Source organism: Homo sapiens, chromosome 2 (genome assembly GCF_000001405.40).
Source record: "Homo sapiens chromosome 2, GRCh38.p14 Primary Assembly".
Classification (NCBI taxonomy): Eukaryota; Metazoa; Chordata; class Mammalia; order Primates; family Hominidae; genus Homo; species Homo sapiens.
The window spans coordinates 11,842,177-11,855,522 of NC_000002.12; the positions used below are offsets into that span (position 1 = coordinate 11,842,177).

Consider the following 13,346-nt stretch of genomic DNA (forward strand, 5'->3'; position numbering starts at 1 on the left):
TGATAAAGCTGAAACTCAAAAAAGTATTGAGTGATGTAGCTAGGACTTGAGCTGAGAGCTGTCCGACTCCGGAACCTGTCCCATAAGACCATGATCTCATTGTGTGTGTGTGTGTGTGTGTGTGTGTGTGTGTGTGTGTGTGTGTGTGGTAGGGGCAGTGGTGTGGTGGGGACTGGGTCTGTTCACCCAGGGCCTGCTGACTGCAACAGCCATTCTTCCTGCTTTGGAAAACTTCTGGTCACCTTATGGGGAAAAATCCTGAGATTTCTCAGTATAGTATCCCTGGAAGACCATTCACTAGGACCTGGCATTGTTGGAAGGCAAGCATTCCTGGACAGATGCCAGAGGCTGAGCACGGGTTTAGTTCAATCCAACTCAGTTCAATGCAACCTGCATTATTTAGCCCTGACCATGTGCCAGTTTGCTCTTGGCCACAGTGTAGTTTAGGAGAAACAGATGAAAATACACAGCTCATCCCCTTTGGATCTGGTGAAGTTGGAGGCAGGAAAGCACAGAAAATATTTGGAACAAAAACGACAGATGCATGTTCTAGTAGGAATCCAGGGCTGTCACTGATGGCTGACCTGCCATATTACTCAAGTCAAATCTTACTAATTCAGCCCTTATTAGATAATATGGAAAAATACATTATTGTTTAAAGATCTATTTAAATGTGTATAGCTTTTCAGTTTCAACCAAGGTTAGTTTGCCTTTGACAGAAAGCTTAATGATAAGAGAACTTGTTATGAACAGTGATATGTGTGTGCGTGTGTTTATGTATAATTAACTGGAAAGAACCAACAAACTTGGATTTGAATACTAACTGGTGTTAAAGTTAAAGGTAAAATCATGACTCTCATGAAAATATATAATGAATGCAAGCCAAGGATTTTATTTAACTTATTAATTAATGAGGAAACTGGTAAAATGTAAAAACAAGTTCAATGAACACACACATATAGGCAATCAGGTATTGGAAAGGAATTTGCATATAGATGCAAAACAAGTTGTGTCCACAGGGCAATAATCAATTGTATCTTCAAGGCCCAAAATTGATTTGCATTTCCATGGACAGGAATTATTTGCATTACTTGCATTATCAGTTTTCTTCAACTTATAAAGTTGTAAAATAGCACAAAGATGTTCAGAAAGTGCAGATAGCTTGGAAGGATGCTCTAGAAAGAACACTCACTAGTTTGCTTTTTCCCATTTCAAATCCTTGCACAGTCTTTTCCTGACAGTGGTGAATGCCAGGATAATGGCTTTGGGCACGTTGTTTAACCTCTCTGAGTCTCAGTCACCTTATCTATAAAATGGGGCTGATACTTTTTCACTGGACTGTCCTGCAGATTAAAAGTGATAATGTGGTCATGCACCACATAGTGACGTTCTGATCAGTGATGGACTGCATATGTGACAGTGGTCCCATAAGATTATAATACTGTATTTTTACTGTACCTTTTCTATGTTTAGATACCTAAATACTTACCATTGTGTTACAATGGCCAGCTGTATTCAGCACAGTAACATGTACATATATGTAGCCTAGGAACAATAGGCTATACCATATACCCTTGGTGGGTAGTAAGCTCTACCGTCTAGGTCTGTGTTAAGTACACTCTATGATTGCACAATGACGGAATCACCTAACAATGCATTTCTCAGACCATATCCCTGTTGTTAAGCAATGCATGGCTGTATATACAAACTTCCTGACACAGAGTACATATCCAATCAGTATTAGGTCTCCTTCCTCCGTAGTTTTTTTTTTTTTGAAATGGAGTCTCGCTCTGTTGCCCAGGCTGGAGTGCAGTGGCATGATCTTGGCTCACTGCAAGCTCTGCCTCCCAGGTTCAAGCCATTCTCCTGCCTCAGCCTCCTGAGTAGCTGGGAATACAGGTGCATGCTGCCATGCGCGCTAATTTTTTGTATTTTTTTTATGGTAGCTAATAAAATGTATTATAAAATTTTAAAGAGATGATAGAATCTAATTTATAAAATAATTAAACTGGAAGACATTTACCTACAGAAGGTTAATGCAACTTTGCCTAAACTAAGTTTATTTATTTTATTTTATTTTTTAATATTTCTTACATTTTATTTCTTTATTTTTTTAATATACATATATTTATTATACTTTAAGTTCTAGGGTATATGTGTACAATGTGCAGGTTTGTTACATATGTATACATGTGCCATGTTGGTGTGCTGCACCCATTAACTCATCATTTACATTAGTTATATCTCCTAATGCTATGCCTCCCCTCTCCCCCGACCCCAGAACAGGGCCCAGTGTGTTGATGTTCCCCTTCCTGTGTCCAAGTGTTCTCATTGTTCAATTCCCACCTATGAGTGAGAACATGGCAGTGTTTGGTTTTTTGTCCTTGCGATAATTTGCTGAGAACGATGGTTTCCAGCTTCATCCATGTGCCTACAAAGGACATGAACTCATCCTTTTTTATGGCTGCATGGTATTCCATGGTGTATATGTGCTACATTTTCTTAATCCAGGCTATCACTGATGGACATTTGGGTTGGTTCCAATTCTTTGCTATTGTGAATAGTGCCACAATAAACATACGTGTGCCTGTGTCTTTATAGCAGTATGATTTATAATCCTTTGGGTATATACCCAGTAATGGGATGGCTGGGTCAAATGGTATTCCTAGTTCTAGATCCCTGAGGAATCGCCACACTGTCTTCCACAATGGTTGAACTAGTTTACAGTCCCACCAACAGTGTAAAAGTGTTCCTATTTCTCCACATCCTCTCCAGCACCTGTTGCTTCCTGACTTTTTAATGATCACCATTCTAACTGGTGTGAGATGGTATCTCATTGTGGTTTGGATTTGCATTTCTCTGATGGCCAGTAATGATGAGCATTTTTTCATGTGTCTGCTGGCTGCAGAAATGTCTTCTTTTGAGAAGTGTCAGTTCATATCCTTCACCCACTTGTTGATGGGGTTGTTTTTTTCTTGTAAATTTGTTTGAGTTCTTTGTAGATTCTGGATATTAGCCCTTTGTCAGAGGAGTAGATTGTAAAAATTTTCTCCCATTCTGTAGGTTGCCTGTTCACTCTGATGGTAGTTTCTTTTGCTGTGCAGAAGCTCTTTAGTTTAATTAGATCCCATTTGTCAATTTTGGCTTTTGTTGCCATTGCTTTTGGTGTTTTAGACATGAAGTCCTTGCCCATGCGTATGTCCTGAATGGTATTGCCTAGGTTTTCTTCTAGGGTTTTTATTGTTTTAGGTCTAACATGTAAGTCTTTAATCCATCTTGAATTAATTTTTGTATAAGGTGTAAGGAAGGGATCCAGTTTCAGCTTTCTACATATGGCTAGCCAGTTTTCCCAGCACCATTTATTAAATAGGGAATCCTTTCCCCTTTGCTTGTTTTTGTCAGGTTTGTCAAAGATCAGATAGTTGTAGATGTGTGGTATTATTTCTGAGGGCTCTGTTCTGTTCCATTGGTCTATATCTCTGTTTTGGTACTAGTACCATGCTGTTTTGGTTACTGTAGCCTTGTAGTATAGTTTGAAGTCAGGTAGCGTGATGCCTCCAGCTTTGTTCTTTTGGCTTAGGATTGACTTGGCGATGCGGGCTCTTTTTTGGTTCCATATGAACTTTAGTTTTTTCCAATTCTGTGAAGAAAGTCATTGGTAGCTTGATAGGGATGGCATTGAATCTATAAATTACCTTGGGCAGTATGGCCATTTTCACGATATTGATTCTTCCTATCCATGATCATGGAATGTTCTTCCATTTGTTTGTACCCTCTTTTATTTCATTGAGCAGTGGTTTGTAGTTCTCCTTGAAGAGGTCCTTTACATGTCTTGTAAGTTGGATTCCTAGGTATTTTGTTCTCTTTGAAGCAATTGTGAATGGGAGTTCACTCATGATTTGGCTCTCTGTTTGTCTGTTATTGGTGTATAAGAATGCTTGTGATTTTTGCACATTGATTTTGTATCCTGAGACTTTGCTGAAGTTGCTTATCAGCTTAAGGAGATTTTGGGCTGAGATGATGGGGTTTTCTAGATATACAATCATGTCATCTGCAAACAGGGACAATTTGACTTCCTCTTTTCCTAATTGAATACAGTGTTGGAAGTTCTGGCCAGGGCAATCAGGCAGGAGAAAGAAATAAAGGGTATTCAATTAGGAAATTTTTTTTTTTATTTTTAGTAGAGACGGGGTTTCACTGTGTTAGCCAGGATGGTCTCCATCTCCTGACCTTGTGATCGGCCCGCCTTGGCCTCCCAAAGTGCTGGTATTACAGGCGTGAGCCACCATGCCTGACCCTTCCTCTGTATTTTTTTAAAAGCTGATATGAGGACTTGTTTCCAACACATCTCTTCATTCATTGCATTTGCTTATTCGACATTTGCTGAAGGCCTGTTATACCAGGCATGTGCTAAGCTAATGCACAGCTAATGACCGCACAGTGAGCAAATCACAGACTTTAAGGAGCTTGTAGACAGGTAGTAGGGGTAGTGGAAGAGGCAGGCCAATCAGTAAGTCATTAGTTATGATTTGTTTGGCTCTCAGTGGCGGGAATCCCGGGAGGGGAGCCCCTGGGAGCGTGCATAGTGGTTGAAAGCAGCGACTCAGAAGCCGCACTGCTGTGGCTCATTAACTGCATCCTTGGTCAAGTTACTTAGCCTCTTGGTGCCTCAATTTCTTTGTCTTTGGAATAAAGATGAAACCTGTAGGCTGTGGTGTGGCTGAAATGAGTTAATACACTTGGAACAGTGCCTGGTGCATGTTAAGCACCATCTAAGTATTTGCTATTATTCCTATTTTTTTCCAGGTGAAGTCTCGCTCTGTGGCTTAGTCTGGAGTGCAGTTGGTGCTTTCTCGGCTCTGCAAACTCCACCTCCTGAATTCAAGCAATTCTCCTGCTTCAGCCTCCCGAGTAGCTGGGATTACAGGCACACGCCGCCACACCCGGCTAATTTTTGTATTTTTAGTAGACACAGGGTTTCACCATGTTGGTCAGGCTGGTGTAGAACTCCTGACCTCCAGTGATCCACCTGCCTCAGCTTCCCAAAGTGCTGGGATTACAGGCATGAGCCACTGTGCTCAGCCCTTGCTATTATTATTTAATGAATATAATGTGCCTGTATTGGACAAAGAGTAGTTTCTACATAAAAACCCAAGTTAGAGAAAGACAAAATCATAAAATAAAATGCACACATCCTTGTGGCTAAACTGAACTGTCAGACTATGCTCAGGCGTGAACTTGACTTTTCTGTGCTCTTGTGTTCCCTCTAACAGGTTCCCTCGGCATAGTCTCAGCTCTGAGACGTCTCTTCTCCATCCTAGCCCTCTGGAGATGTTTGAGGAGCCAACTGTTCACCTGTCTTGTCTACCAAGCTCAAAGTTCCTTGTTTTACCTGTTCACTGACTTCTTACTGTTGGGAAACTTCCCTCAAAACAAAGGCTGCCTCCTCTTTATTAGCCCCTGTGTTCTCAGAGAGAAAGATCTTTTAGTCTCATTTTAGACACTTTCAGTCCTTCTACATGCAGTGGGGCCCCCAACACTTATACAGTTTCTTTCATCCTGACCACAGCTGTGAGGGCAGTTGGGCCTTGGTGGCTCAGTGGTGGCCAATTCTGAACGCAGTGGACACGTGACTGCCTGGGTTTAAAACTGACTTCACTGACAAGTCTCCAACAAGCACTCAAGTACCCAGAGGAAGAGTGAAGGCATGAACTCTAACCTGTTGTCTACCCAAATGGGTCTGCTCTTGTCAGATCTGTAGACCTCAGAAGGCATTTTCAGGAGTCTTCGTGTATTAGTCCATTTTCATACTGCTATGAAGAAATACCCAAGACTAGGTAATTTATAAAGAAAAAGAGATTTAATGGACTCACAGTTCCATATGGCTGGGGAGGCCTCAAAATCATGGCAGAAGGTGAAGGAGGAGCAAAGGCACATCTTACATGGCAGCAGGCAAGAGAGCATGTGCAGGGAAACTGCCCTTTATAAAACCATCAGATCTTAAGAGACTTACTCACTATCATGAGAACAGCATGGAAACAACCCACTCCCATGATTCAATTATCTCCCACTGAGTCCCTCCCATGACGTGTGGGGATTATGGGAGCTACAATTCAGGATGAGATTTGTGTGGGGACACAGTTAAGCCACATCACCTTACCTTATTGGGAAAGGTACTGCTGTTTTTCTGTTTGTTCCATGGCCTTCAGTATATAATTAAAAAAAATTGTGGAGGCAGCATCTTGCCCAGGATTAGAACTGTAGGGGAGAAAGATCATCCTTGGGCCAGGGTGAGGTGACGACTGCTATTGTGATAGTGGTTTATTGAGCATCTATTATGTCAGGTACCATGATAGGTACTTTATGCTTCTTACAACTTAATTCTCAAAACTGTCCCCAGGGTAAGCAGAATGAAGGCCCTGGGCATAACTTGAACACCCGAGGAACTTGAACCCAAGGCTGGCACAAAAGCCAGAAGGTGTTACTCTCCACCAGCTCAGGGATTGTGAAGATCTCTGTGCAGACTCCACTCTGCGGTTGGACAGCATCCCTGAGACATGCATTTTGGGTAAGTGGAGGGGCAGGCGGGACAGAGGCAGGGCATGGCAGGATGAACTGCCTCCCTCCCCCGAGGCTTTGTGCCCTGTTGCCGGGCCTTAGCGATGCTGCTGCAGGTGATGCTGCTGCTAGAGCAGAGCCTGTGTTTCTGAGATGACGAGGCAGAGTCCCGTACAAGCTGGACAGCCTCCCTCTCATAGCCCAATGCTCTGCAGATGCTGTGGAAACGGTGTCCAGGCTGTGTGATGTGCACAGTGTGGGGTATTGGCAACCCTGGTTTGGGGTTTTTGGAGCATCCACTACATATCTGGCACCATCACATGATAGAAGCTCATGTTTCTGCCCATCCCCCGCAGCCTGTCCTGTCCCCAGGGCTCTGGCTCAGGGTGTTTCATGCTGGGTCACTGACCAGCCTCTTCCTAGGCACTGGGCTTCCAATCCCTGTCCCTGTGATTTTCTCCCCAGTGCACTCAAACTGATCTTCCTCTCCTTCAGCTGTTCGCTGTTTTCTACACAATAATGCACAGGTCTCAAAGGGCACCTTGTCCCAGGGCTTATTGGCCTGCCCCATGGCAGCCACACTGAGCCACCGGACCTCCGGCTTAGCCCACTCTATGCTCTATTTCCTCCATGTGGACCTTCAGGAACTATTTTTTGAAAACGCATCAAAACAGCTTCCAGCTGATGCTTTCTATCTCCCTGCTCGTTCAGTTGGTTTCTGCTATTATTCCTGGTGGTGGAGTGCAGAGACATCAGCATGATCCCGGAGGGTCACAGCAGAAACAAGCTGGAAGGTCTCGGATTGATGGGCTGAGACCTGCCCTGAGTGTCGGGAGGGAGACCCGTTCTCATGCCCGGCGTCCCTTCCGGAAGTCCCTTCTCCTCTCTGGGCTTCTGTTTCTCCCCATTACACTGAAAGATTGGCCTGGTTGGTGGTTTTTCCCAGGTGGTCTCTGTCCCATCACCTCGGAACTCCTTAGAAGTGCAAATTCTCAGGCGCCACTCCAGACCCATCAGCTCAGAAATGCAGGGCACGGAGCACAGTAATCTGTGTTTTACTAAACCGGGAGGATAGGGAGGGTGTTCTGGTACCGCCTAAAGTTTAAGAACCACTGGTTAGGTAAATTTTCAGTCCCCTTCTGACTCTGATAGTCTGATTCTCTGCTCTGATCTGTGAAGAGGACAAATTGTGCCTATTCCTGATGACATCTGGGACGACAATGGGCGAGAGAGGGGTTCCCACAAGAAAGTGAAACTCAGGCGGCTACAGAAGTTCCTTTCGAGCAACACCTATTATCACGTTACTCGGATTCCATTTGCTAATTAATTTCAGTGAAAGCTGAAAGGAGCCCCGTGGGAAGGTCTTGATGGCCCTGCAGTGGACACATTAGGAACAATTCCCGGCTGTCCCTGAAAGGCCCCTGGAAGGCTCCCTTCGGCAGCACCTGGAGAGGGAGGCTGACAGCAGCTTTGTGCATCTCAGAGTGGATACTGTTTCTCCCATTGGTCCTTCACACAATTGGGCGAGTGTCCGCGGCCCGGCTGGCCTCCAGCTGCGGCTGTGTGCCCAGCTCCCCTGGAAGTGTGCCTGCAGCCCGAGAAGGGGCGCCCTGTTTCCGTGGGAGGCATGCCCGGCTCCCGTTGACAGGTCTGCAGCTCACTCATGGAAAGGCCTGCTTTCCGGAGCTGGCCTCGGACTGAGCCCGGAAACAATTATCTCAGGGCCCAGTGTGTGGCTCGGGGGCTGGTGCACAGTAGGTGTGCTGAACAACAGCTGATGCCAACTTGAGGTCTGTTGGATCATTTCTTAAAATTGCTTCGGGGCAATCCCAGAATCAATTTTGGGTAGCTCTTTGGCTCCTAGAGGCTGTCGGCCGTGGGGTGGGGGGCATATTTTATAAGACCCCAGGCTGCGTGCTGTGGCTCACGCCTGTAATCCCAACATTTTGTGAGGCTGAGGCGGGTGCATCACCTGAGGTCAGGAGTTTGAGACCAGCCTGGCCAACACGGTGAAACCCCATCTCTACTAAAAATTCAAAAATTATGCAGGTGTGGTGGTGTGCTCCTGTAATCCCAGCTACTCGGGAGGCTGAGGCAGGAGAATTGCTTGAACCTGGGAGGTGAAGTCTGCAGTGACCCGAGATAGGGCCACTTCACTCCAGCCTGGGCAACAAAGTGAGACTCTGTCTCAAAACAAAACAAAACAAAACAAAACAAAACAAAACAAAACAAACAAAACCTCCTGGACTTCTGCTCTTCAAGCTTCCGACTAATGTGAGTGAGGCAAAGGAAGTTACCCTTGGGCTGGGAGAGTGCCAGGTGGCATGCTAGATGACATTGCATCTATGATAGTGCATTCCATGCATGATGGGATTGCTTGGAGAAGCAGTTTCTAATTTCCAGAGGAAAAATTTAGGGCCCCCAAAATAGGTATCCTGACCAAAGTCACACAAGGAGTAAGTGATAGAGTCAAAATACTAAATTTAGTTTCATTTACTGAATCCTTACCATGTGGCTCAATAATATAGCCACTGTGTGACGGGTTTCTATTTCTAATTCTTCTATTTGTCTAGTTATTCTAATGATTCTAACACATCTGTCTAATCGAATCCTCACACTAATGCCTTACAAGGTATCTTTGTCACCTTTTTACAGATGAGGAAACTGAGGCTCAAGGGGGTAAATTAACTTACCTGCTGTCACCCGTGGCTAGTAAATGGCTAGGCTTGGATTGTACCCCATTGATGTTGGGTGAATGGATGACATCAAAGCCTGTTCTCCACCACATTCCTCCAGGCAGAAAGTTTCAGGGTGGCCTGGAGGAAGCCTGCACCTTGTCAGGGGTTGTGGCGTCTGGATTTTCACCATCCGCAATCTTTAGGATTTAATTGCCCTCAGCCCCCAACTCCAAGTGATGAGTTTACTCTGAGCAGGGCTCTTCCTGGACAGTTGAGCCCCTGGGGAAATCACATGACATTTCTATGAGACCATTAGTGAGGCTTTGACATGATTACAAATCCACACCGTGAGACTACAGTTCATCATACAGACTCTACCTGAGATAGAGGTGCCTTAAGGAGCATGGAAACCACTGTGACTTGGGCAAGAGCTGGGGCATCTAACCGGGCGGTGGGAGGGTTCCGGAAAGAGTGATAGAGGCTGACAAAGAGAACCTTCACTCCACTGGCTCATGAGGGAATATGATCGTCATCTTGCAGATGAAGAAATGGGCCCAGAGATGGTGGGTGAGTGGTTTAGTTACATTGAAGTCATTTTTTCAGGTAGTCACCGACTCCAGCTTCTCTGTGCCAAAAACTTACATGCTCATACACGGGAAGCCAGAGATCAAATTCCATCTCTGCCCCCAAGAAACCCATAGCCTAGTGGCAGAGAGACAAATCATAAGAAGGCATGATACAACAGATCAGGAACTGTATTTTTGGCCGAGTACCCTAATGTTCACAGATATGAGAAGAATGGTGGAGAAAACACCCTTCCTTTTTCCAGAATAACTACAATGAATTGGCAGTCTGTAGATTTTAAAGAATGTTCACATGTCAGCCATGCGCATTGAATTCAAGTTTAGTGGGTGCGGTGGCTCACGCCTGTAATCCCAGCACTTTGGGAGGCCGAGGAGGGCGGATCACTTGATGTTAGGAGTTTGAAACCAGCCTGGCCAACATGATGAAACCCTGTCTATACTAAAAATACAAAAAAATTAGCTGGGCATGGTGGGAGGCTGAGGCAGGAGAATTGCTTGAACCCTGGAGGTGGAAGTTTCAGTGAGCTGAGATCACATCACTGCACTCCAGCCTGGGCAACAGGGTGAGACTCCATTTCAAAAACAAACAAACAAAAAATGAATTCAAGCTTAGTGGATAGATGAATACTGCTCTGTGAAGGTACATTTTGTGGATGTGTCTGAGATTGCATAAGCTGTGAGTGGCGGAGCTGGACTTGAACCCAGGTATCTCTCCTGGTTTCCAACATCAAGTTAGGTGAGCGGCGGCAGAGCTGGAATAGTGAAAGTCCTTATTTCCTCAGAATAACAAAGGATAGATGGACGGACATAAAGTAGGGAAGGCTGGAGTGATATCATCCCAAAATGAATCTCCTGAGAGGTTTGTGAGCTGCAGATCAGAACTGAAAGTGGCAGAGAGGCTGAAAAACATCTTCTCAACTGGAACAGTATGTGGCTTTCAAGTTGTATTTAGGGGGAGAGGAAGGAGAACCGCTATTTCAGGGAAGGGAACTGCAGAGACCCAGGCAGGGCCAACTCACAGCAGAGTGTTAGGCAGGCCAGGGAGGGGGAAGGGGAAGAAGGAAGGAACAATGATAGAACCCTGATTGTGTGCCGAATACTTTCCACACGCGATTTCATGTCATTGTCACATAAAACTATGACAAGGGATTCTGCTGTTACTTTTGGGTGAAGGGAAGTGGCTTGCTCCTGCCTGTGTTGTTGAGAAGCAGCAGAGGTAGGTTTGGAACTCTCATCTGCCGGACTCCAAATCCTGTTCTCTTCCCCCTTCCCCACACCATCTTCCCACCCTATTCTTCATGCTTCTGACTGTGGCAGCCTTTTGGCTGTCCCCGGCGGTAACGTTTCCATGCAATGACACAGAGCCAGTAATACATGTCAGCTTTAGTCAGCTCTGAAGAAGAAGGGGTCAGTTTTAGAGAGGTGGGAAAAATAACGGGAACAATCCTGGTTGGGGGCCAAGTCTACACCAAAGCCTAAAACTGTGGCAGGCAGGTGCCTTGGGTTGTGGGGGCCTGGAGTGCTGCCCACACAAGTGGACCATGGGTCATGAGGCCAGAATGGCAATTGGGGTCAAATATGATGGCCTGGAACCCCCATAGGTGATAAGGTTTATTGGAGGATTTTAGTGAAAAGAGCATAAAGAAACAATGATGAAAACACTTGCGCTGTTTGTGAGGTGGCAAGGGGGACACTCACAGACATGGAGGTCTTTATCTCACCATCTTACCTAGATGCTGAGAGGAAAATGCTTTCCAGGGACAGGGTTGGCGCTGCGTTTCTGGGCATCTCAAGTAGCTGCAATCAGGACAGAAGCCCTTCTTGGTCGCCTGCCCTGAATGGCCTGAATGTTCAGGGCTGAAGCCTTTGGAAGACTACCTGTGCATTCGCCTTGATGATGCAGGGTGAGGGCTTAGACCCACTGCTTCCAGAATGCCTGTGCATTCACCCCGATGATGCAGGGTGAGGGCTTAGACCCACTGCTCCAACCCTGTCCCTGGAAAGCATTTTCCTCTCAGCATCTAGGTAGGATGGTGAGATAAAGACTACCTGTGCATTCGCCCCAAATGATACAGGGTGAGTGCTTAGACCCAGTGCTCCCAGAATGCCTGTGCATTCACCCCGATGATGCAGGGTGAGGGCTTAGACCCACTGCTCCAACCCTGTCCCTGGAAAGCATTTTCCTCTCAGCATCTAGGTAGGATGGTGAGATAAAGACTACCTGTGCATTCGCCCCAAATGATACAGGGTGAGTGCTTAGACCCAGTGCTCCCAGAATGCCTGTGCATTTGCCCCGATGATGCAGGGTGAGTGCTTAGACTCACTGCTCCCAGACTACCTGTGAATTCACCCCGATGATGCAGGGTGAGGGCTTAGACTCAGTGCTCCCAGACTACCTGTGAATTCACCCCGATGATGCAGGGTGAGTGCTTAGACTCAGTGCTCCCAGAATGCCTGTGCATTTGCCCCGATGATGCAGGGTGAGTGCTTAGACTCACTGCTCCCAGACTACCTGTGAATTCACCCCGATGATGCAGGGTGAGTGCTTAGACCCAGTGCTCCCAGAATGCCTGTGCATTTGCCCCGATGATGCAGGGTGAGTGCTTAGACTCACTGCTCCCAGACTACCTGTGAATTCACCCCGATGATGCAGGGTGAGGGCTTAGACTCAGTGCTCCCAGACTACCTGTACATTTGCCCCGATGATGCAGGGTGAGTGCTTAGACTCAGTGCTCCCAGAATGCCTGTGCATTTGCCCCGATGATGCAGGGTGAGTGCTTAGACTCACTGCTCCCAGAATGCCTGTGCATTTGCCCCGATGATGCAGGGTGAGTGCTTAGACTCACTGCTCCCAGAATGCCTGTGCATTTGCCCCGATGATGCAGGGTGAGTGCTTAGACTCACTGCTCCCAGACTACCTGTGCATTCGCCCGGATGATGCAGGGTGAGTGCTTAGACCCACTGCTCCCAGACTATGTGTGCATTCGCCCCGATGATGCAGGGTGAGTGCTTAGACTCAGTGCTCCCAGACTACCTGTGCATTTGCCGCGATGAAGCAGGGTGAGTGCTTAGACCCAGTGCTCCCAGACTGCCTGTGCATTTGCATAGATGATGCAGGGTGAGCGCTTAGACCCAGTGCTCCCAGACTGCCTGTGCATTTGCACAGATGATGCAGGGTGAGCACTTAGACCCACTGCTCCTATTCCTTTTGCCTTGCTAGGCCTCTGCTGAGCTGTAGCTCATTCATCCATCACCCTGCACCATGGCGACAGGAGACCAAGTCTGTCATCTTGGCATTTCCCTTGTAGTTGGAAGGACAGGCAGTACAACGTCAGCAAGAGAAGGCTCTGAAAAAAGCCAGCAGTGGAGGAGAGGCAGCTACTGCAGGGCCCTGGCTGGGGAGGTGGGTGCTTTAGATAGGTGGTTAAGGGTGGCCTGTGTCTAAGCTAAGTAGTGAGCGTGAGCACAATTCATCCATTGGGTGAGCTGAGAAATGGGCTTCCCAGGCAGGGGAAGAGCAAGCACA

General features: G+C 46.4%; 1 long non-coding RNA gene across 3 annotated transcripts in view; it reads left to right on the plus strand.

Annotated features, from left to right (window-relative positions):
* The window catches only part of LOC105373430 (uncharacterized), a 34,063-nt gene that overhangs the window by 9,955 nt on the left and 10,762 nt on the right, over positions 1–13,346 (plus strand). For 2 of the 3 annotated variants that reach the window (XR_922803.3, XR_001739287.2), the window contains one exon: positions 6,401–6,568. This is a non-coding gene — a long non-coding RNA (uncharacterized LOC105373430). Of the gene's footprint in view, positions 1–6,400; positions 6,569–7,737; positions 7,956–13,346 lie in introns of those variants that run through there. The other variant, XR_001739288.1, reaches the window with a different exon arrangement.